The 24,581-nt window shown below is 40.7% G+C and overlaps 1 long non-coding RNA gene across 1 annotated transcript in view, besides 1 other annotated feature; it reads right to left on the reverse strand.

Annotated features, from left to right (window-relative positions):
• LOC105371069 (uncharacterized) overlaps positions 1–24,581 on the reverse strand; it is a 236,274-nt gene that overhangs the window by 87,329 nt on the left and 124,364 nt on the right. Inside the window, exon 3 of the long non-coding RNA NR_197430.1 lies at positions 14,018–14,087. This is a non-coding gene — a long non-coding RNA (uncharacterized LOC105371069). The remainder of the gene's footprint in view (positions 1–14,017; positions 14,088–24,581) is intronic.
• Positions 4,263–4,463: a silencer, noted in NCBI's record as "peak2490 fragment used in MPRA reporter construct". NCBI's record gives its function as "represses an SCP1 promoter by STARR-seq MPRAs in K562 erythroleukemia cells {active_cell/tissue: K562}" and the evidence as "EXISTENCE:reporter gene assay evidence [ECO:0000049][PMID:32103011]".

The raw sequence follows: 24,581 nt of genomic DNA on the forward strand, positions 1-24,581 counted from the left end.
CAAATGACCGAAGTTAATATTGAGAAGTATTATAATAAGAATAATAACACTGAGTGAACAGGCCAGTAAACCAGCCAGAGCTGGGTTTTCAGTGTCTAATAGGTCTCCTGGAGAAGACACTCCCTCATTTGGATCCTACAGGATGGGCAGAAGTCATTTTGCCCTGAAATGGAGAGTAGAACCACTCCATATGATTGGTTGCCCTCCAACCTGCTGTCTTTTGGGAAGGCCTGAAGAGCTGCTTCACAGGTGGACTACAGATCCCCTGGCACAAGATAACATCATGCTTTACCAAGGTGGACCCATCTGGGTAAGACAAGAAGAAATATTTTTAAAAAGAAAAAAGAAAAAAGTGAAAGAGAAGAAAAAGAAGCAAAAAAAAAAAAAAGTGTTTACCCAGTGCCTGTGTCCCAGTGAGAAGAGATTGAGCTGCCAATAATTGAGCAAGTCTCTCTGATGATACAGATTAAACCAGAAGGGCCAACAGTAAACAAGATGAACTTCAAAAGAGCAGCGTTCTGGCTCTCTGGGGACCTCCATTAACGAGTCACCAGATAGGCAATTACTGTACAGTTCTTGCAATGACCGGGATCAAACGCGAGCATTCTGCACAGTAGGCAGTCAGAAAGCAGGCAGACAAAAAACTGTGAGAATATGCCATTAAATCTTAATTATTCTTCAAAGAGAGCAAGCACAACCAGGGGGCAGAGAAGGAAGGAATATTCAGAATCTCACCAATGCCTGGGGCTCGGGGCAGTAGCACAGCTACTGTTTCAATGCTTGTATTTACTTAAAACTGAATCTCTCCTTCTGACTTCTGCGATGGGCCGGGGAATTTGGTTTACATAAGCAGCCCCGTTTCTCAGACCCTTTGTATCTTCTTCTGGAGTATATGAAGGCTGTGGTACCAGGCCAAATTTTGCACACAAGGTTTGAATTAGAATGATTGATATTTTTATGATGCAAAGAAATAGCACACCCTCCAGTGTTGACCACAGATAACACTCGAATTCAGAGTAGTGTTTTCGTGCCTTTGGAATTAATAGTCTCTGTTCTGTAATTCACAGGCATCAAGTGTCATGCTAGTCACGTGTCATTTCCCTGAGGCACACAACTGAGGTGTCCTTGATTAGTGCATGAAGCCACAGTATCCTAAACTTAACACGTGGTCCTGGTTAAATGGAAGGCTTAAGGAACTCAAAAGGTGTTAATTTTGAATGCTGATTTTCAATACTGTATGTATCACTCCGGTGTGCATGTGTGTGTGTGTGTGTGTAAGAGAAATTGAGATTTTATAGAATATATGAATTTAGATCCCATTTTTATCACTTAGCATTATGGTTTTAAATATTCTGTATCTGTAGGAGAAGCTAACCCAGCACTCACAGTGGACATACAATGTGAAACGTGTGTAATTTTAAGTTTGCCAGTAGCCACATTTAAAAAAAGATATAGCTAAAATTAATCCCAGTAATATATTTTATGGAACCCAATATATTCGCAATATTATTCTAATATAAAAATTATTAATGAGATATTTTACATTCTATTTTTTTTTTTTTTTTGCACTGCCTGAAATCCAGTCTGCATTTTACAATTCCTGCTTATCCCAACTTGAACTAGCCACATTTCAAGTTCACTTGGGGCTGCTGGTTTTCATACTGGACAGCCCAGGAGTAGACTGTGTCCCCAGTTCCATTCCAGGTCATTTCTACCTGTAAACTTTCATCGAAGAAAGATGTGCTATGCTGTACAGAAACTTCTGTTTGGCTGCCACCAGCCTAGTAAAATAGATTAGACATCTATGACCTAAGATCTGCAAAACCGTAAATGAAGAGGCCTGTGATGGGGTCAACCTTGACAACTTCTCAGCACAATAGCTGTGTTCGAGGTCACAATGAGGACTGCACCAATGAGATCCTCTACACTGGATAGTTTGAACTTGGGACAAAGGGAGACCCCCCAAGTCTTTTTCCTTCACTCTCCATTCAGCCATCGGAAGCACTCTGTATGAGAAAGGGAGAAGGGCAAATTGGAGTTCCCAGGACTTGTTTGTGCATACGAATCACGATAATGCTTTTGAAAAGGTAGATTCCCAGGCCTTACCACAAGAGATTCTGAATCAGTTTGGAGGTATCTGTCTAACAAGTCACCTTTTCAATTAAAAAGAATTCATTATAGAAGCAGCCCACTGAGCTTTGAGAGGAAACACACAACCCCATCACCCTACTCTGTAACCCCCATGTATTGCTGTGATGGTTAATACTGAGTGTCAACTTGATTGGATTGACGGATGCAAAGTATTGTTCCTGGGTGTATCTGTGAGGATGTTGCCAAAGGAGATTAACATTGGAGTCAGTGGACTGGGAGAGGCAGGCTCACCTTGAATCTGGGTGGGCACCATTTAATCAGCTGCCAGCATGGCTAGGATAAAAGCAGATAAAGGAACGGGAAAGGATTAGACTGGGCTGAGTCTTCCAGCCTTCATTTCTCTCTTGTGCTGGGTGCTTCCTGCCGTCAAACATCGGACTCCAAGTTCTCCAGCTTTTGGACTCTTGGGGTGTTGCACCAGTGGTTTGCCAGGAGCTCTCAGGCCTTCCGCCACAGACTGAAGGCTGCACTGTCGGCTCCCCTACTTTTGAGATTTTGGGACTTGGACTGGCTTCCTTGCTCCTCAGTTTGCAGACAGCCTGTGTGGGACTTTGCCTGGTGATTGTGTGAGTCAATACTCGTTAATACAGTCTCTTTCAGATATACAACTATCCTATTAATCCTGTTCCTCTAGAGAACCCTAATACAAAGACGTTTGCCTCACAATCTTTCATGTTTGGGGGTAAAGAAATGAGAAACTGCAAAATGAAGTGACTTCTTAACTGCACTCTGATTGCAGTATTTTATTCCCCGCCTCGCCCTCCCGCCCCTCACACACACAATTGTTCCACCTTCCCTGCACTGTGTGGCTTTACTTATACTGTGGAAAATCTGCAGACATGTTGGATTATCCACCTTTTACCCCAAGTGTTTCCTTCCCGTGTTCCTTACTTTTTCTCAGCCCCGTTTACTATCCTTAGGTACTTGTAAAATCACGAAACAAGATCCCTGCTCCAAAGACATTTGTAGAAGACAAAACAGACCTTTCAAGAGAAGATGATGCCTATGACTGGGGTTCCATAGCAAATGGTACATACAGGAGCCACTGAAGATGACATGTGGAAGTTGTCTGTTCTCACACTACTATGAAGAAATACCTGGGACTGGGTAATTTATAAAGGAAAGAGGTTTAATTGACTCACAGTTCCACATGGCTGGGGAAGCCTCAGGAAACTTAAACTTACAATCTTGGCAAAAGGCAAAGGAGAAGCAGGCACCTTCTTCACAGGGCAGCAGGACAGAGTGAGTGCAAGAAGGGGAAATGCCAGACGCTTCGAAACCCATCAGATCATGTGAGATTCCCTCACTATCACAAGAACAGCATGGAGGAAACCACCCCCATGATCCACTTACCTCCACCTGGTCCCAGGTGGGACTTACAGGGATTACAATTCTAGGTGGGATTTGGGTGGAGACATAGAGCCAAACCATATCAGAAGTGTTGTTTACATTTCCTCAGCTCTTCAAAAGCTAATTTCCCCAATTTCAACTTGACTGTAAATGTGAAATCTTCATTCTTCAACTGTTTGCATCACCTTTGAGTGATTCCTCAACCTAACCAAAGAGTTCTCTAGTAAGAAAATTAAACACTCAAACCTGGCTGCTTATTGTTGTAATCAATAGTAGAGCCTTGACTTTCATAACACATCCTCACTTAGAAATGCTTCATAATCTCATGACTTTGTAAATGTGACTGTGTTTTGTGTGGACTTGAACCACAATGAAGCTTGATGTCCGTAGTGTTCATTTTTTAATGGATATTTTACTATTCAGAAAATATTTGCACACACATTGTCTCTTCTGGCCCTTGAAACATTCCCTGTGTGGCTGAAGAAAGTCAATAGTGGAACCATTTAATAGATAAGGACATTGAAGTTCAGGCATATTAAATGCAAAATCACAGGATGATGGGATGGCACAGTCAAGGAGAGGATGCTGGTCTGAGGCCTCATATTTTGGTCCTCTTTCTGCTTTACCTCTCACTGCCACTTTCTCAAAGAATATCAGATTCTCACATATATCTGGCAAATGTGTCCTTTTTGACATTCTAGGCTTCATCTAAAATGATGCTTCTGTGCAGAAATTCAGTCCTGACCACAGGACTCCAGGAAATGCCTATCATGAGCAACAGTGAGAACTGCCCCCGCTGTATTTGTGTTTCAAATCTATCTACAGAAAAGATTGAGAACCAGAAGCCCTTTTCGTTTTTTGAAAGCTAGCTGACTCACTGTTCAAGAAAGGAGAACACTTTCAATTATGCTGTTTGACTGCAGTGTCAGGGATCCAAAGGAAATGACTCCATCCCTTCCCTTTCATCCCAACCTCAGTGACAGCAAATTCTGATGTGACTGAGGGTTGGCTTGTGAAGGAGTCATTAGGAAATTCTGCCTAAGCCATAGCGCGATGAGAAGGATGTATCCTATGGTGGTGATTTTCCTGTGCCCCCTCAGAGGAAAGTTGTCAGATGAGCAGGTGGAGTATTCTATAGCAAACAGCAAGCTAATAGGTTACACAGATAACTCTCTGACTTTGCCTTACAGAACCTGTGCTATTGACCTTAGGGCAAGGTTCATGCTCAGGGGGCCAACTCTGTGGGTTAGGATTTGAGTTTAAGCAGCTTCTGCTCATATTTCATGGCAAGCCCAAAGTCCTCTGCTCTCCAGTGAATAGGTCAGGCTATGCTGGTTTCATAGTTAGTTAAATAAAGCAAAACTTAGGTGTCTGGAGCCTAGGTCCAAGCTGAGGACGTGCTGGTTGCATTATCTCAGGGAAGCAAGAGTGAAGCATCCATGTGAAATGCATCTCATGACCATCTTCGACTTTTTCACTTGGCAAATATGAGTACTTGAAACCTGAAAGGGACTGTGACTTTCTAAAATCATACAGAGAGGGGCCAGGCACAGTGGCTCACACCTGTAATCTCAGCACTTTGGGAGGCAGAGGCGGGTGGATCACCTGAGGTCAGAAGTTCAAGACCCCCCCGAGCAACATGATGAAACCCTGTCTCTATTGAAAATATAAAAATTAGCCGGGCATGGTGGCATCCACCTGTAATCCCAGCTACTCAGGACGCTGAGGCAGAAGGATTGCTTGAACCTGGCAGGTGGAGGTTGCAGTGAGCTGAGATCACGCCACTGCACTCCAGCCTGGGCAACACAGTGAGACTCTGTCTCAGGAAAACAAACAAAAAAATTCAACAAAATAAAATCATAGAGGGAGGAAAGAGAAGGTGTTTCTCCTGTCTTCTGGTCACCTGTAATTCTTTTGTCCTAGGCCAAGTGTACATCTGTCACCTCAATGTTTATGAGTCTATGTCTGGATACTTGGAATACAATTCCAACTTCTTTTCTAGGTTTTCACAGCTTTGAAGAAGCTCCATCCTGTGTCCCTGGGCCTCATTCCCTACATCTTCTAATCTCCTTCTCTTTGTTCACTTCCTTGAGCCATAGTAACCTCGTTTTGTTTATTGAATGCAATATATCAGCCTCAGAGCCTTTTCCTGACTGCTCTTGGTCTGCAGTTCTCTCCCTGTGATGCATCTGCAGATTTTATCTTCCCATTCTTCAGACCAGGGCTCAGAAGTCACTTTCTCTGAGAGGCATTGCTGTGGGGCGATATTCAAAATTGTCCACCCTCTTCATCACATTACTTCACTTTCTTGTTCTCTTAATGTCAACCTCTGAAATTATCTTTTGACATGTGTGTTTAATTGATTTTCACTTTTGTTGCTCTTGCTCTGGACGGCAATCTCAGTGAGTACTTTGTTCATCACTGTATCCCTGGTAGCTCCGACAATGCCTTTCAAATAGGAAATGCTTAAGTAATATATGCTCAATGAATTGATACATGAGATGCACGTTTATTTGCTTGTGATTTCTTTTTCTTGAAATCAGGATCCACCTTGAGCCTGATATCTACATTTTCAATGGTAGTGCTGCTTTTTGCTGTATTTCCATAAATTCAAATACCTATATATCTACAGCGATGCCTATACACATATTGACATTTTGTCTATTATTATATTAGGGAGTTTCCCTTGTTAGAGCTAGATTTTGGACTCCTCAATCATCTTCAACTTTTCAGGAGTTGGCAGCCCAGTCTTGGTTGATACTACGACTGTCGACTCCACCACATAGCTGCAACATTGGTAAATTTTGATTTTCAAATACAAATAAATTTAATCCTTAATAATTTTCAGATGGGAAATTTCTGGGGGTTTAGTAAAAATTATGGCAATAACTAGAGACTTCTTTTAAAGTTATTAATTCACACTTAGAACTAATGGCATAGGAAAAACTTCTGTTTTCTTGATTACGAACTGCAAAAGCAAATGGTTTGGTCACTATTATTTCTGTAGAAAAAGTGATGTTATAGAATTAAAGATACTTGCTTCTCCAAGATTTCCTTCCCTCCCTCCTTTCTTCCCTCTGTACATCCTTCTCCTCCTCCATTTTCTTTTCTCCTTTCCTTTCTCCTTTTCTTCTCCTTTTTTTAATTGTCTCTTTCTTCATCCCCTTTCTTTCTTACAAAAATGGCTTTCTGAAGCAGTAAAACCACAGTCTCAAATGAATGCAAGCTCACATTCCTCAATGGGAAGGTGATTTTCCAAAAGCTCACCTTTTTAAAGGCAATTTTTAAAAGGAAATCCTCACTTTCTCCATACAAAAATCACCCTTGTCAGATGGGCTTCTGAGATAAAGATGAAGTGATCACTGTGCCCCCAATTATACAAGATACTGTATTTTTACAAAGGAGTTTACCTTGGAGAATAAAATTATTTTTTTCCTGATTTAAAATTGTTCTTGCAAAATTGCTATCTCCTTTTCTCAAGGTATGTATAGTGCACCATGATAACCTCAGCAAATAAATGTAGTTCCAGCAGGAAAGGAGGAAAAAGCCTGTGTGGTATAACACTCTCTGGCTGACAGATCAGCCCACATTGCAAAACACGAGGAGAGTAAAACAAATGACGAATAAATGAGAAAGCAAGCAGGATAGTGATTGACCCCTACTCCACAAATGGAGGGGCACTTGCACCCAGGGAGAGAATCCAATTGGGCATTATGATCGCAGGTATGCTTTTATGGGTATTCTTGAGAAGGCAAAGAAGAACTTATTCCAGTCCTGCCTCTATGTGGACACGTTTTCCCTCTGGCTCCAAAACTGCAATTGTCTCCCTTATGGTGCTTGGTAATGAATCCTCAGCTCTGTGACATAAAGGCCAAAGAGGTTTGTTTTGTATCCGTGGAGTTTGCAAAGAGATTAGCAGGGTGTAAAGTAATGAAAAAAATAAAAACATATGGAAACAGGGGCTTTGCGTTTTCCTTTTGCCCTGGGTGTGTTTGGAAGCTGAGAACTGGGGAAAGGAGCACTGAATTTCCTTTCTTTCTTTCTTTCTTTTTTTTTTTGAGAGATGGAGTCTTGGTCTGTTACCCAGGCTGGAGTGCAGTGGCGCAATCTCGGCTCACTGCCACCTCCACCTCCCGGGTTCAGGTGACTCTCCCGCCTCAGCTTTCCAAGTAGCTGGGATTACAGGCACGCACCACCACGCCCAGCTAATTTTTGTATTTTTAGTAGAGACGGGGTTTCACCATGTTGGCCAGGCTGGTCTCGAACTTCTGACCTCAGGTGATCCACCCACCTCAACCTCCCAAAGTGCTGGGATTACAGGCGTGAGCCACCACACCTGGCCTGAATTTCCTTTCATGTTTCCAAGCCTAGTACCCACCATGATTCAAATAGGTAAATAGGACAGGGTCAGTCAACTCTCCTGCTAGGAGCACTTGTAGCCAAAATGATGACTGCTGTTGTAATTTCTGTTTCAGTTTTTTCCAATCAGAGTAGTATCTTGAAGCAGAGGTATGCAGATAAAATTTTTGAGGCTTCTTTCTAATGCAGCAAAAATAGATTGAGCATTTGATGTATATTAATCACTGTTCCAGGTGCCCTGGGAGAAAATTAAATAAGCCTGTTCTTGCCCTTATGTAAATTAGTGATGTAGAGGGAGAGGCAGATATACACACAAGTACTTATAAGTAAAGGTCAAACTTTGTATTTTACTTTTGTATTGTATTTGGCTATCTCTCCCATCAGAATGGAAATTCCTTGAGGGCAGGGATTTGGGAGAGAAGGGTTTAGTTTGTTAACTATTTTGTTCCATTCACTAGAAAATAGTAAGCACCCAATAAATAATTACAAAATCAAGGAATTAGAAAAGTAGGTATAAAGGGCAACACAGAAGTTCCAGAGAATCAGAATTGTTCCAATAGGTTTGCTCTAGAAGAAATTGTGTTTGAGCATGGATTTGAATAAGACACGATATCCTTCCCAGCCTCTGGTAGCCATCCGCCTACTCTATGTTCATAAGTTCAACTGTTGTGATTTTTAGATCCCACAAATAAGTCAGAACATGCAATGTTTACATTGCATCCCTTTATCAAAACATCTCATGTACCCCATAAATGTATATACCTACTGATATGGTTTGGCTGTGTCCCCACCCAAATCTCCCCTTGAACTGCAGCTCCCTTAATCCCCACGTGTTGTGGGAGAAACCTGATGGGAGGTAACTAAATCATGGGGGCAAGTCTTTCCCATGCTGTTCTGGTGATAGTAAGTCTCACAAGATCTGATGGTTTTATAAAGGGCAGTTCCCCTGCACAGGCCCTCTTGGCGGCTGCCGTGTAAGACATGACTTTGCTCCTCCTTCACCTTCTACCACGATTGTGAGGCCTCCCCAGCCATGTGGGACTGTGAGTCCATTAAATCTCTTTTTCTTTATAAAGTACCCAGTCTCGAGTATTTCTTCACAGCAGTATGAAAATTGACTAATAAACCTACTATGTATCCACAACATTTTTAACTTTCTAAAAATGTAGAAGTAAATAAATATAAATATCATGCACAAGGTTGATAGTGAAGCCAGGAAAAAAAAATGATGAAACAACTTTAGTTCTTTGATTATAAAATTGATATCATATCATAATATAAATTAATTTTGGGAAAAATAAAGAGCAGTGAGCAACCCAAAGGCTCAATTTCCCGAGAACCACATGTGCTACAAAGGTACATTCTTCCCTTTTTAAAAATTTTCCTCAACATGTTTATCCCACACAGCTGCAGAGCCTTCCCTGCACTTGTGATACAAAATCTTACTTCTTTCAAGTAGTGTGTGTCTATGTTGTTATGCAAGTCTTCATAGGTATTATTTTCAGGAAAGGAGTGAGATCCTCCACCAAGTTAGCCAAAACATGATTCACTCAAGTATTCAATGAGTTGGGCTGTAAAAGACAGGTCAGCAAAAAACCAGAGGCAGGCAAGGACAGGTGGTCCTAATGGAAAGTTGAGTTGTGCCATGATGAGTGTATAATGGCGTGAGGGACAAAGAAGGTGAGACTGAGAATAAAAGTGGATGCCCACAGTTTAAACTGCTCTGTGAGGCCAAGGCAGCCAGATCACTTGAGGTCAAGAGTTCGAGACCAGCCTGGCCAACATGGTGAAACCCCGTCTCTACTAAAAATACAAAATTTAGCTGGTTGTGGTGGTGCGCCCCTGTAATCGCAGCTACTCAGGAGGTTCAGGCACAAGAATCACTTGAATCCAGGAGGCAGAGGTTGCAGTGAGCCAAGATTGTGCCACTGCACTCCAGCCTGGGCAACAGAGTGAGACGCTGTCTCAAAAGATAATAAAGTAAATAAAATAAACTGCTCTATGGCCCCAGAGATCCTTTGATGCTTACAGGAAGGGGGCTGAAAGATTTCAGCAGTGGAAATCACATGAACTGGTCCTTGAAGATGTAGAATTCTACTAAAAGGAGAACAAGAAAAAACACGAGCAAAACCTTAGCAGATGAGGTTAGTACAGGAGAAGTAATTGTCTACAAGGAGCCACTGTGTCACGAGAAAAAATATTTTGGTTTATAATTTGAAGTCCTGAATGCCATTTGACTCATGGTCTTGTTATCCTCAGTCAGAACACCAGGTTCACTTAATAAGCTTTTGCACACATGGCTGAGGCCTATTGTCCCTGCAGCAAAGAGTGATTTCTGGGTGTGCCGAGAGTATCTGCTGAATGTGGGCAATAAGGAGGTTTCCCTCTCTCACCAAAGGCCAGATAGGGACTTTTTGTCAAAGCATCCTGGTCTCCCAATCTGGGGCACTCAGATTCCTCCACGCTTCTGTCTTTCTAGAAGCCCAGAGGATGAATCCCAACTTTCTGGTGATACTTTGGAGCAATGCAGGGGGTACTGAAACGCCAAATGCATGCCCTAAATGACCACCAATGACTCCTGTTTTTATACATATATTTTTGCGACTGAGTCTTACTCTGTCACCCAGGCTTGAGTGCAGTGGTGCCATCTCAGCTCACTGCAACTTCCACCTCACTGTTTCAGGCAATTCTCCTGCCTCAGCCTCCTGAGTAGCTGGATTCACAGGCGTCCACCACCACACCTGGCTAATTTTTGTGTTTTTAGTAGAGACGGGGTTTTGCCATGTTGTTCAGGCTGGTCTTGAACTCCTGACCTCAAGTGATCCGCTCGCCTCGGCCTCCCAAAGAGCTGCGATTACAGGCATGAGCTACCATGCCTGGCTTGTTTATAAATTTTGTTCTTAAAGATACATTCTTCAGTGTCATCTCCAGCAACGTTAATCAACAGTTAAGGACACCGTGATATTTGTTTTGTGGTAAAACTTGTTTTAGAAGAACGCGTGTTTAATCAAAGGGAGACTGTCATGTATTTTCACATCCATTTCCTTATTCAGGTTTTTAATATCAACTGGTATGCTACTTCCTCCAGAAAAACACCCTTAATATCCGTTTTGGCCTCTTTTAAAATTCCTCTTCTCCATGTTCCTGTAGTACTCCAGTTTACCTGTGTCTGACACTGAAGACGCTGTGCTTTACTGTACATTTGGGAGTCTCCCCTTCCCACTGGAGACTGGGCTCCCTAAGGGCGGGTCTGTCCTGAATATCTCTGTGGTGTCCCCTCTGGTGCAGTGTCTAGCATTGGTCAACAGATGTTCATGGCACCGAACTGATAAATTGATGTGTGTGTACGTGTCACGTGTTCCTGGCAAAGGATTAAGTTGCTAGCCAGGCACAGTGCCTCACGCCTGTAATCCTGGCACTTTGGGAGGCTGAGGCAGACAGATTGCCTGAGCTCAGAAGTTCGAGACCAGCCTGGATAACATGGTGAAACTCCGTCTGTACTAAAAATACAAAAGATTAGCCAGGCGGGGTGGCACATGCCTGTAATCCCAGCTACTCGGGAGGCTGAGGCACAAGAATTGCTTGAACCCAGGAAGCAGAGGTTGCAGTGAGCTGAGATCGTACCACTGCACTTCAGCCTGGGTGACAGAGCAAGACCCTGTCTCCAAAAATAAAAAATAAAAATAAAAAAAGGATTAAGTTGCTGCAAAATTCTAATGGGTCTTCTCGAATGAAATTATAGATGATTGTAATTTTCATATATATATACAGTTATATAAATTACATGTATCTCTATATATTTATATAGAGAGATAACATATATATGAATTAGAACCATCTATATAATTTATAATACTAATTTGTAGCACATTATTTGGTTTCTAAGGTAACCAGTGACATGTTCTCTGTAATCCTTAACAAGTATCTTCCCCCATCTTAGGTCTCAGATCCTTCATCTATACATGGATGGGACGAGATCTAAGCTTCTTGTGGTTTTTCGATAGTAAAGAAACTCAATGAACACTGATACATGGTTAGTGGGAATGTAAATTGGTACAGCCACTATGAAAAACAGTATGGAGGGTCCTCAGAAAACTAAAAATAGAACTATCCTGTGATCCAGCAATCCCACTTCTGATTATATATCCAAAGGAAATAAAATTATTCTGTTGAAGGGATATCTGCACTCTCATGTTCATTGCAGCATTATTCACAATAGCCAATGTATGGAAGCAAACTGTGTCCATCAGTGGATTAATGGATAAGAAAATGTGGTACATACACAATGGAATAGTATACACCCTTTACAAAGAAGAAAATTCTCTCATTTATGACAACATAGATGAACCTGAAGGACAGTGTGCTTAGTAAAAGAAGCTAGGTATAGAAAGACAAATGCTTCATGATCTGATTTATATGTGGAATTGAAAAAAACCCATCTCATCGAAATAGAGTAGTATGGTGGTTACCAGGGGTGGTGCGAGGAGGGATGGGGAAAGAGGAAATGTTGGTCAAAGTGTACAAAGTTTCACTTAGACAGGAGGAATGAGTTTTAGTGATCTAGTGCACAGCATAGTTTAAAATACTGCATCGTATATTTCAAAATTGTTTTAAAAACAGATTTTAAACATTCTCAGCACACACAAAAAAACCCATAGGGAGGTGACGTCATGGATACGTTACGTAGCTTGATTTAATCTTTCTATGTCAAAACATCACATGATACCTCACAAATAATGTAATTATAATATAATTACATATAATTATAGTAATAGTTATAATAATATAGTACATATAGTATATGCTAAGAATTATAATATAATAATATAAATTATTATTTGTCAATTAATTAATTAGCTAACCAATACATTTTTTAAAATAGTAAAGAAACTTACTGGCATAGTTTATAACTGGATTTTGGTTTTATAAATTATTTCACACATGGACCATTCAGCAGCCAGTCAGCAACTATGAAATGAATTAATTCAAAGTGTCCTGCCTGGGAAAAATTCTTGGCAAATGTTTCCTTATATCTCATGATCTTCCATTCCAGGGGTGGCAGACAACAGCCTGCAGGCTAGCCACCTGTTTTTGTAAATAGAGTTATATTGGAACCCAGCCATGCCTGTTGGCTTATAGATTGTCTATGGCCACTTTAGTGCTTCAAGGGCAGAGCTGAATAGTGGCAGGGCAGACTGTGTCCCCCACTGTGCCCAAAATATTTACTATTTGACCATTTAGGAAAAAAGCTTGCCAACCACTGTCATATTTCATTACCATTGTTATTGCAAAAGTCCTGGATTCATTCAACCATATATTTTGTCAAGAAAAATTGTGGAAGACTCTGATTTGAACAAAGAAGATTACTGGGTATACTGTGTCGTGTACCCTCCTGGGTTATGTGTGCCTTTCCCCTCTTTAACCTCTTTTATAATTCTATAAGTGGTAGAAAACTGAGATGAATGCAGATGATCCTTATCCAAAGAAAAGCAAATGAATTGTGTCCTGTGAAATGCAATTGATTTATACCCTTTGGATATTGACCGGTTTCACTGCGATATTTGGGTGTATTTCAAATTCATTTCAATATCCTTGATTGCCTATAAAAATATGGGATTTTTAAGCTTTCCTTTGAACTAATTGTAACATCTTACTGGCTCCCTTATGAACTGACAAAAAAATAAAAATCTTTGGCAGATATTCATTTTCTATTTGTATGTGAATCATGATTTTACCAATATAAAAAATGTCTTTTATTAACTTCTATGTTATACATATGCACACCTAAAGCCCTGTGCTGAACAGAAAGCACAGAGTTAGGGTTAAAAGGGAATCCTTGAGTTAGAGGACTTCAGTTTGTCTCCTGACCACACTATTAATTAGGTGTTTGAAGTCGAGCAAATCACTTAACATCTCTAAAGCTCAATTTTCTCCTCTGTAACACGGTTATCAGAATAATTCCTACCTCATATGGTGGTATGAGGATTAAATAACATAATCCATGCACAATTATCTAACATTCAGTAAACAACCTGGCAATGTTAACTACGGCTGTAACTGTCATTGGAAATTGCATTCTCATTCATTAACTGAATGAGATTTTCTGCATCCACATCATCTTACCTTCTGCCAGTTGCCTGTATGCAATGCCACTGACCTGGTTTGAGTTCTTTTGAAAGCAGAGCCTGAGATAAGATTTGGAGCAGGTTGGTTTTTAGACAATGTCCCTGGAGGCAAGAATGAAAAAGCAGCAAAAGTGAGAACTAGAGGGAAGAAAAGAGGAAAAGGATGTTTTTTTCCTCCACATGGGTACCACTGTAGAAGCTGGGGCTCAGTCTTGCTGGAGACTCTCCAAAAAACTGTAGGATTTGCCTCAGAACTGTCTCTTCTAAAGACAGGAGGCCCAGACATTAGCTGTCAACATCCACCGCTCATTGGCAGAAGATATTATCCAGGGACATCAATTCTTCCTCAATTCCTGGCTACGCAGATTGAGGCCTGAGCAAACTCTGGTGGCACAGAAATGAACCTTGAGACAAAGTTAGGTGCTTGGGGAGGACTGCTGTTGGTATGTTTGGGAACTGTTCATAACAATAGATGCATTGGATCCCCAAAGACAGGCCTAACCGATATGACAGGAACACAAAATTATTGCCTATACCCACCATTGAAAGCAGATAAATGAGTATCCTGCCCAATCTCTTCTCACACCACTGCTGAACATACTCTCTGTGTTCCCACACCTTTCACAGAAGCAGAAAGCCTAAAGAGTATGAGCATAGCAGCCATGCCAGGACCACCAGATGCAACAGGGTGGGGAAGTCAGTTCTTGCCTTAGTGGTGAGGCAAGGAAGATTCCTCTCCATCCCTGCTGCAGAGACTTATCCTGTTCCAGGATTGGGGTTTGCAATGGGACCTTCTGATTTCTCCCCTATGGAATGCTTCAAGGAGGGCCTTAGAGAATGACAGGAGCCTGGATGTACCTCCCCAGTAGCCAAACACTCAGGAGGAGAGCCGGCTGGACTTTCTAGATCTTTTGTTTGCTTGCATCTAGGGGAATCACAATTGGATATCTTATAATACAGCCATTCCTCCTCTTAGAACTTCTCAGGTTGTTGGTCAACTACCTGAAATTTGCATTTTAAATACGTGGCATTTGAAATTCATATGTAACTATAATGCACTGATGCTACGTTGTTCAGCCGTTTACCAAACACTCAGTCTCTTCGCCTGTATTATCTCAAAAGTTTATAACAAAGGCAAACTACAGAGACAGTAAAAAGATCAGTGGTTGCCGGGGCTCTGGAAGTAGGAAAGGATGAATAGATGGAGCATAGGGGATTTTTAGGACAGTGCACCTATTCTGTATAATATGGTAATGGCCAATCCATGATAATATAGATTTGTAAAAATCCGTATAACTGTACAACACAAAAGTAAACCCTAATGCAAACTGAGGACTTTATTAATAATAAGATATCGATATTGTTTCATCAATTATATCAAATACACCACACAAACACAGGATGTTAGGAAAAACAGTGTTGGGGGGAGAGGAATATAGGGGAACTTGTACTTTCTGCTCCATTTTTTATAAACTTAAATTGCTCTAAAAATAAAGTGCATTAAGAAAAAAAAAACTTTATAGCAAATCCTTATAATTGTATCCTTGCTACAGATGAGGCTCTGACTGGCTAGAGAAGTTCTTGTAGGGGCCACAAGTCTGGTAACGGCCCAGCAGAGATGGGGACCCTGGTTTATGAGGCTCTGAAGCTCAGGTCCCTGCCATTCAGTCTCCTCACTTCCTTCTTCACTGGCCTCCTGCCTCCTGGTGCGGTGCTCTCTTCTCCGTGGCGAGCTGCCTTTGCTCTTCACTCTCCATGCTGCTTTGACATGGCCCGTCCCCTTGTGTCAGCCTGCCAGCACTCTGCAGTCACGCTGGGCGAGTGGCTCACCAACCTGAGGCTTCCTAATGAGCCTGTGAAGTGCCATCAATCCTCGGTCCCCATTTCACTGAGGCATCTCGGCGCTGTGATGTATGGATCAATCTAAGCGTTTCTGGTCTTTGAAAAGCCTAGTCCAGTGGCAGCCCTGGGAATCCGGCTCACTCGGTTACCCTTTCGCTAATTTATAATTTAGCTGACACAACTCCACGGCTGTTTTATTTGTCTCAAATGAATGTCAATTGGTACAGAGGACAAGGCGTTTGGGAGGTAAATTAACGAAATCATTACATGAATTAGACCGCGTTGAAATACAACACCCATTCCTTCTTCCACTTTTTTTTTTTTAACATTTCACAAAGAGCCTTCCCCTCCCCACTCTGGCACCCTGACACACTTCTATATCCTCTCTCAATCCTACACCTCAAAATAATTTACTCTGGATATAGTAGCACAGCTGGGAGTATAATCTCCAAATATATAAATAATAATGAGAACCTTTAATAAAATCAGACATAAGTTATACAGCAGACATCAATTACAATGGATTTTAAAGGTTTTGATCTAGAACCTGGGTGGTGTTACATTTAGACTAATATCTGTAACCATGATTTATGTGTTTGCAACCAAAATGGTTTCAGTGCCTCGATATATGTCCAAAGGAAAATTTATAGTCTGCTACAGAATGTATAAATAATGAACAGCCATATGTCATCACACATTTAAAAATGTGACTCCTTCTGCAGCAGCAATGGGATAAAATGAATTAAAATCTTAAGTTCATTGGGAATCAACGTATTTGGGAGCACTTTAAGAAATGTGCACAAATGCAAACATTGATTTAATATTTTTTTTTCTCAAGTCAAAGAAAAATGGCTGTTGTAAAAATGACAAACACTCTGGGGAAACCTCAGGAGTCATCAAATTAAAGAGTAGCATGAAAGAGAAAAAGAGAACCGGTTCGAATATGGAAGAAATGATGCTGGGGAGGCTTTTTTCTGACTCTGCTGTGAACTCAAATTATTAAAGAGCTTACAAATGATCAAAACCCATAAAATCAGTTGCTGATGGCATTCTACCTTACAGTTTCCCATAAAGTGTATATAAGGTTTTTGGAGGTTGGGGAGATGCTACTGATAAGGACTGCAAGCCAGTTCACTTACATTTTGAGTCCACACAGAAGTTGTATACCAGTCGGAAACTCTGCTTTGCCATCTGAAAATACGATGAGTACAGTCCAGTAGATGGCATTACTAGGATTAACTAAAGGATGTCAAAGCAACTAGTCTAGTGCCTGGCAGAAGTAGTTGGAGCTCAGTAAATGTTAGTCGTGGTCTCTCCTTTATCCCTCCCCCAGTGGAAGGTATGGTGTCAGAGACATGAACCATGTCTTATTCATCTTTCTGTGGATGACATCTAGAAAAGGAATTCAGGGTGAGCAAATATCAGTGCATCTTCCCTGAATGAATCAATGAATCAATGAATGTGTTTCCATGGCTCTAACAGCACTGGGAAATCCAGACATCAGAAAGAGTTATGAGGCAAGAATATGTTGCAAACGTAAGACTGTTGGGGAATTGAAGTGGTCTTCATTAATAAATTTATAGAAAATCAAATCTTGCTTCCTTAAACTCTGGGACAATGTCACAGTTTAATTTTTGACAATCAAAACCTTTTTTAAAATAACTATTCCTTACCTCCTTGGGTTCTCCAATAATGTGCTGATGAGAATGTAATCTTTCTTCTAACTTCAAGCTGTCATGAATACATGATTCTTAAGTGATGTAATTTAGTAATGTTTACTGTGAGGAGCCTAGTGCTGGGTTTGGCAGTTTTCTCCCCTCTCTTCCTGCTAAATGGTCTCCAACTGCTGTGTTTTGATTTCTTCTTTTGATTTTAATGGTCTCTGTTCCTTCCCTCAAATTTAACTTCCAGTTCCTACTGCTTTCAGGTCTTACCTCAATTAGTCTTCCTAATTGCTCTTGCAGAGCTGGAAATTTGGTAGCCAAGTTTTTCAGGTATCTATTACTGCATAACAAAATTCAAATGCATTGGTTTGAAACAGTTTTTTAATGTAGCTCATGGTTCTGTATGTTGTCTAGGTTAGAAGGCATTCCCTTAAACTGCCTCCCATGGTTCCAATCAGATGGCAGCTGGGGCTGGAGTTACCAGAAGGCTCAGCTGGACTAGACATCCAGGGCTGCTCATCACACGGCTAACAGTGACGCTGGCTGTCAGCAGCAGGCTTAGCTGGGGTTATGATGAAGGCACCTATGCATGGATTTCTTGTGTCTTGAGCTTCTCACGGCTGGGTTCTGAGAAAGAGTAATTCAATAGCATGCATTTCAAAAGATCCAGCTGGTAGGAATAAGCCTTCATGTGGACTACACTGCATCACTTTCATCCCATTCTGTTGGTCAAAATATGGAAGAAGACAACCCAAGGATGAAATACCAGGAGGTGTGCCTCATTGGGGAACCGTCTTTGGAGACTGGCACCCATATCAGTTGTTGAAATTAGGTTGAGAACATTGCATAGGGGGTCATCAAGATCTTCTGGAAAAAAAATTGCTGGATTTCAATGCATAGAATTATGTATTTTATTTTGACTTCTCAAACACTTTTTTCTTCCACCACTTATCTTCCAATTATTTCCCTATCAAGGTTGCCATTTACATGATATTTAAATGAGTGAGGTTTGGCAGTACTTAGAAGTCAATGGACTTTCAGGTAAGACTTATTAATGTATTGCATGAATTTGCCATTGCAAAGCGCTTTTACTATACTAGAATTCCCCATTGAAAAGCACTTTTACTACACTAGCTTGTCTACTTAGCTCTGGTTGTTGGTTACTTCCTTTTTTTTTATGATGGAAATTAATTTTGCTAACTCAAAGCACATGTTTTTTCTATAAGCTAGAGTTTGGAATAGAGAATGTGTCTGTTTTGTGTATGAGCATTGCTGGTAGATAAGAGTCCTTATTTTAGGAATTTTTCTAAGCGTTTATCCCCATGGGACCAAATACCAGCTCAGTATAGTAAGAAGAAAAAGAAAATCATTCTTACAGGCTATTTTGTGTTCTGTAGATCACAAATGAATGAAAAAAAATACTCAGGAGGTAGGTCATCTATGCCCCTTAAGTGGCTGTACTATAGTTCATTTAAAGAACTCTCTATTTTTAAATTATTTGCTTACTTGCTTCTCTTCTATAGATAAATCTTTGTGAGTATCCACTCTCTCTTCCTCAGCAAAGATTCGCCATGTTCATTTCTATCTTTGGGTCATCCATATAGCAGTCAACAACCACACCATTTGAAACTTCACCAAATTATATAATTTGTATCTTACTTTTTAGAATCCTGTAGCCTTGCACATACATTCTGAAACATCTAATTGGTTGATGCAATTCACTGAAGACAGGAGGGTCCCTAGGGCTCTAGTCTTCTCCCCTTGTGCATTGGTCTAAAATTGAAATCAGGTTAAAGTAGGGCACTGGGTCCTCTTTAAACTTTCATAGCAGCTTGACTGACTGAGTGGCACAGTGAAGAAAATGCCTGTTTTGTTGCATTGGGCAAGATGCTTCCGTTCTCTAAGCCTTCGTTTCTTTATCTGTGAAATGGGAAGAATACATTTTCCCTCCAAATGTGATGAAGATGCTGGGCGTGGTGGCTCACGCCTGTAATCCCAGCAGTTTGGGAGGCTGAGGAGTGAGGATTACTTGAGCCCAGGAGTTTGAGAGCAGCCAGGGCAACATAGTGAGACCTCATCTCCATATTTTTTAAAAAAGTAAAATGAAATTAAATAAAAATGTGATGAAGAAGCTTCCAAACAAAAATGCACACCCAGCCTCTGGTTCAGTGAGCAGCAAAACACAAGTTAATTGCAAAGGTGAGTTCTCTTCTCATCCACTCCCCCAATAAACATATGTATAGTGTGTGTGTGTGTGTGTGTGTGTGCAGGCATGCACACATGTCCGCATTCCATTACCTTATTATATTGGAGGCTGCAGGTGCTTCTAGTCTTGTTGCCCAGGTAAGCACCTCTATTAATCAAAGTCCTGGTAGGGGAGGGATGCATACTCAGATTGAATGATTTGAGGTGAGTTTATAAAAGGGGCTAGTTTAAAAAGTCAACGTAGGGTTAGGGAAAATTACAACGCGTAGTGCAGTATCCCTGAGGTAGGGGACTAGTAATAGTGGAAAGGAAGGGGATGCCTGCTAAGATTTATGGCCAAGTAATTGCATCCAGCCTTGCTGACCTGAAGGGAGGAACCTGGGAGATCAGGAGCTCCCCCTGCATTTTCTTCCTTCCCTCTAGGTCAGCTGGTGCCTCCCATGAGATGAACCATTACCAAGATCAGGTCATACTGGAGTCTGAAGCTTGGGCTCATGAGAAGGGCTGTCTTTTTTATTATTTGTTCTCAAACTGAAGTTCACCATGCCTCTAGGGTCTGCAGATACATTGTTGAGATCTCAGGATTCTCCAACAAATGTTTTATTTCTATCTAGGTGATAACCAAATAAAATTAAAACATTTTGGGATTCACCTTATTACCAAATACTGCCACACAATTCCTGAGCCTGTTCTTTTGTGTGTGTGTTTCTACTTGAGTTTGGCCCAAAATTGCATTACCGTATATTGTAGAGATGAAGGTTTTGTGGTGAATAGAAAGAAGTATGTGTGCTCAAAGCAAAAAAATAGTATAGGAAGGCCAACCTGCAAATGTCTTGCACCAGAATTTTTAAGATCACAATCTCTTGTGAGTGGATGTGTTTCATGGATATCATCTTTGTTTGCATGTGTTAACTTTGTAATGGTTCATGAGCAGTATGTTTAGAGTAAGTTTTTTTTTTTCTGATCCAGTCAAACTAGGATTATATGTCCATTTAATTCAGACTCTAAAAAGTGACAAGGCTAACCTCATCTTTCAGTGAACAAGTTAGCTTCATAGAAAATCAAGTGGCCCCCACATAAGCTGACCTCACTCAATAGAAGAATTTTGGTTATGTATGGGGGCCTTATGACCTGATTATTCTAAAATAGCAAGTAAAAACTGACACATTAATGCCACTCAATGCAATATAATTATTGGGGAGTGGACATTTCTATATTACCATCCCTGAGACAAAACACTAAAAGGGATTAAGTGTAAGCCTATACCTGAGACTAGTTTTCTACTAGTGAACACAATAGTGTCCATTTATTTTTTTAAATCTTTCACTTTAAATTAAGGCAGTTAATTTGGATTTTGTTGGTATATCAGAGCTTGTGTGCATTCAATTTGTAAAATCATTTTGATTTTTATAGTTGCATAAGAGCTACAAGCATGAGGGTTTATGTCTACCTCATTGGTCATACATCTTTCACTGAAGATGTTAGAAAACTAATGAGTCAACACCAAAGGTCTTCATTCCTCTTCTTCACCAAAAGTTATCCGAGCAACAGTGAAGTTTGAGAAACTGCTGTCAGATAATTCTTTCTCTTTGGGACTGGTTTTGGCAATGATCTTCAAAAGTATTACTGTGTTATCAGGTTCCTGCTGCTGGGAAGACAGGACCAGTCACTGTCAGAGACCCCAGAAACAGAAAAGAAAAAAAAAAAAAAGTACCCGTAGCTCCACCACCTCCTGCTCCCAGCTCCAAAGTCCCCTTTATGGTGACGAAGGTTCACTTTCATCCTTTTGGAAAGTGACAGGCTGCACTGCTTCCCACCTGGGGAGACGTAGAAAAAAGAAAACTCAACTTGTTCTGGAGCAAAGCTGTCAGCCATAGGGACCCCTCTCCTTTAGCAAGCTGCCCAGCATTATTGGGAAGTTATCTAAAGTGTCAGAGAAAACACTATTGATTTTTTAGTCTGTTTTGTCAACTAGTCAATAAACCTTGCTTTTTCCAGGATATTTTTTCTAGCTCCCTGCCTCTCACCTATCTTCTTCTCTTATCCTTGTTTCTCTTTCACTTTCTCTCTCTCTTTCTTTTCCCCTTTTCCTTTTATTTCTTTCCTGCTTTCTTTACAGTGTCAGCAAGCAGGTACAATAACTTCTCATTTATTTAAACTTAGCTAATATCAGATTCATGATAATTTATCCACAAAGTTCTTTTTTAAAAAATAAATTGAGGTTGATTTGTATTGAAGAACACTAGCTTCGAAGCTGCTAGAGATTTTAAATATATCCATTGCTCATCCTGCCTGTTTGCTTCCCCGTACAGCAGGACTTTGCAGTTCCTTGCAACTCTTCCTTGTTGTTTAAATGATTGCATAAAGAAGGCATTGGCAGACTCCATCACCATATTTAAAGCTCCTTCCTAAAACCTGAAGGGGTTGTGAGATCACACTTAAGTAGAACTCATTCTATGCCAGGCACTGTTCTCAGTGCTTTACATATGGTAACTCATTTAATTTCTGCAACAACTTTATAAGGTAAATTCTATTCTTATCACCATTTTATACATGAGGAAACTGAGGGGCTAAGATGTTTCTTCCAACCCTCTACTTGCTGAGGAAGGCCTATGCTAAATCATCTAAGACCAATATTTGACTGCCAGCTATTTAGTTTTCCCCAGAACTGATTCCACAGGGCAGAAATGACGATGGCTGTCATAATGTCTCATTATTAGGCATGCAGGCCACATACCCAGTGTGTCTGGCCTGTGTCATGCCAGTGTGTACAGGGGTAACACAGCCCTTGGCTTCTCCCAGGGCCAAGAACAACTAACTAACTACACTCTTCCTTACCTCCCCAGTTCCTCTCTTTTCCTGGCATTTTCCTTTAATCCTACAAACATGCTCAAGTTTGTCTGATTACTTTCTCTCCCTTTTTGTCCCCACTCCCTCACCTCCAAGTGACAGCCTTATGTTGGTAAGGATGGGTTAGGCTTTGCTGTAGAAACAATAAAGCAATCTTTGTGGCTTCAAATAACAAAGATTATTTCTTGCCCATGTCAAACGTCCATTAGGGTCACCCGGGACTCTGCTTGATATGGTTTGGCCATGTCCCCACCCAAATTTCATCTTGAATTGTAGCTCCCATAATTTCCACATGTTGTGGGACGGACTCAGGAGATAATTGAATCACAGTTTCCCCCATACTGTTCTCGTGATAGTGAATAAGTCTCACGAGAGCTGATGATTTTATAAGGGGTTTCCCCTTTCTCTTGGTCCTCATTCTTTCTTGCCTGCCACCATGTAAGATGTGCCTTTTGCCTTCTGCCATGATTGTGAGGCCTTCCCACGCATGTGGAACTGTAAGTTTATTAAACCTTTTTTTCTTTATAAATTACCCAGTCTCAGGTATGTCTTTATCAGCAGCATGAAAACAGACTAATGCATTGCTCTTCCCAGTTGGGAAGAGCCCTAAGCTAATGGAGTCTCTATCTTGACAAATTCTTCAGGAATTACTCTGGTGAGGCAGGGATAAGGAGGTATGAGAATAGCTAGCTCCTCTTTTTTTTTTTTTTTTTTTGCTATCTTAGCCATTTTTAAGTGTACAGTTCAGTAGTGTTAAGTATATTCACATTGCTGTACGTCTATCCATGTGATTCTTAAAGACTAAAAATATTGGTAGTACTTTCCCTTTCTCTCATGTTTCAAGTTCAAAGGAAAAAATTTGTAACTTTCACAAGCCAAGGATTCAACAAACGTCAAGATCTTAGTAGCTCTGTGCGTTTCTTCTTTGATCTTCTAATGGAGTTTCGTATCAGTGATGTGTGAACAAAGAAATGCTAAGTGTGAGTCATCATATTCACATTTAGTTTAATACTACATATTTATGTTAATTGACAATATGTATATAAGAAGAAAATTGTTATTTAGAGTTTCAACTGTGTTCTAAAGAGAGAAGATGTTGGAAAATGGCTCTGTATTTTTCAGGGTATTTTGATTCATTTTGGAATTAAGGTTTGAAGGTAAGAGATGATATGTTGAATTTATCTCCTCCTTCTGTCATTTCTCCACTCCTCCTCCCTCCCTCCCTGCCTCTCTATTTTCTTTTCCTTTCTTTCTTCCTTCTCTTTTATGCATAAATACATATGGAGCTTTAAGCATGTTAAAATATGAGTTCTTGCCAGGCGCAGTGGCTCACACCTGCAATCCCAGCAACTGGGGAGGCAGGGGCAGGAGATTCACCTGAGGTCAGGAGTTTGAGACCAGCCTAGCCAAAATGACAAAACCCTGTCTCTAATAAAAATACAAAAATTAGCTGGGCGTGGTGGCTCTTGCCTGTAGTCCCAGCTACTTGGAAGGCTGAGGCACAATAATTGCTTGAACCTGGAAGGAGGAGGTTGTGGTTCAGCTGAGATAGCACCACAGCACTTAAGCCCAGACAACAGAGCAAGATTCTGTCAAAAAAAAAAAAAAGTTTTTAGATAAGTTGGGAATAACACAGGAAACCAGGCAGACAAGGAACCTTTGAAAGTCTACATTTCTAATGGGTGAAGAAAAGTAAATTCATAAGCTAAAAAGGCAAGAGACTGTCTGACAGAAAGGAGAAATTTAAATAGAACCATGTGACAGAGCATGGCCAACTGTCCACATGAGTCTGAGAGGCAAAGGAGAGCCTCTCCAAGAAGCTATCCCTTGAGCTGAGACCTTAGAAAAAAGATAACCCAGCAAGAACCACATTTAAGCAATGGTAGGCACAGAAACAATGGTTGGGATGAACATGATGCATTTACAAAACAGAAAAAGGCCGGACTATCTGGAGAGAGGGAAGTGAGGAAGGATGTTGGCATACCAAGGACGTTCGTGCTCTCATGTTTTGAAAATGATATTTAAGCAAAGTATT

The sequence above is a fragment of the Homo sapiens genome, chromosome 16, assembly GCF_000001405.40.
Source record: "Homo sapiens chromosome 16, GRCh38.p14 Primary Assembly".
Classification (NCBI taxonomy): Eukaryota; Metazoa; Chordata; class Mammalia; order Primates; family Hominidae; genus Homo; species Homo sapiens.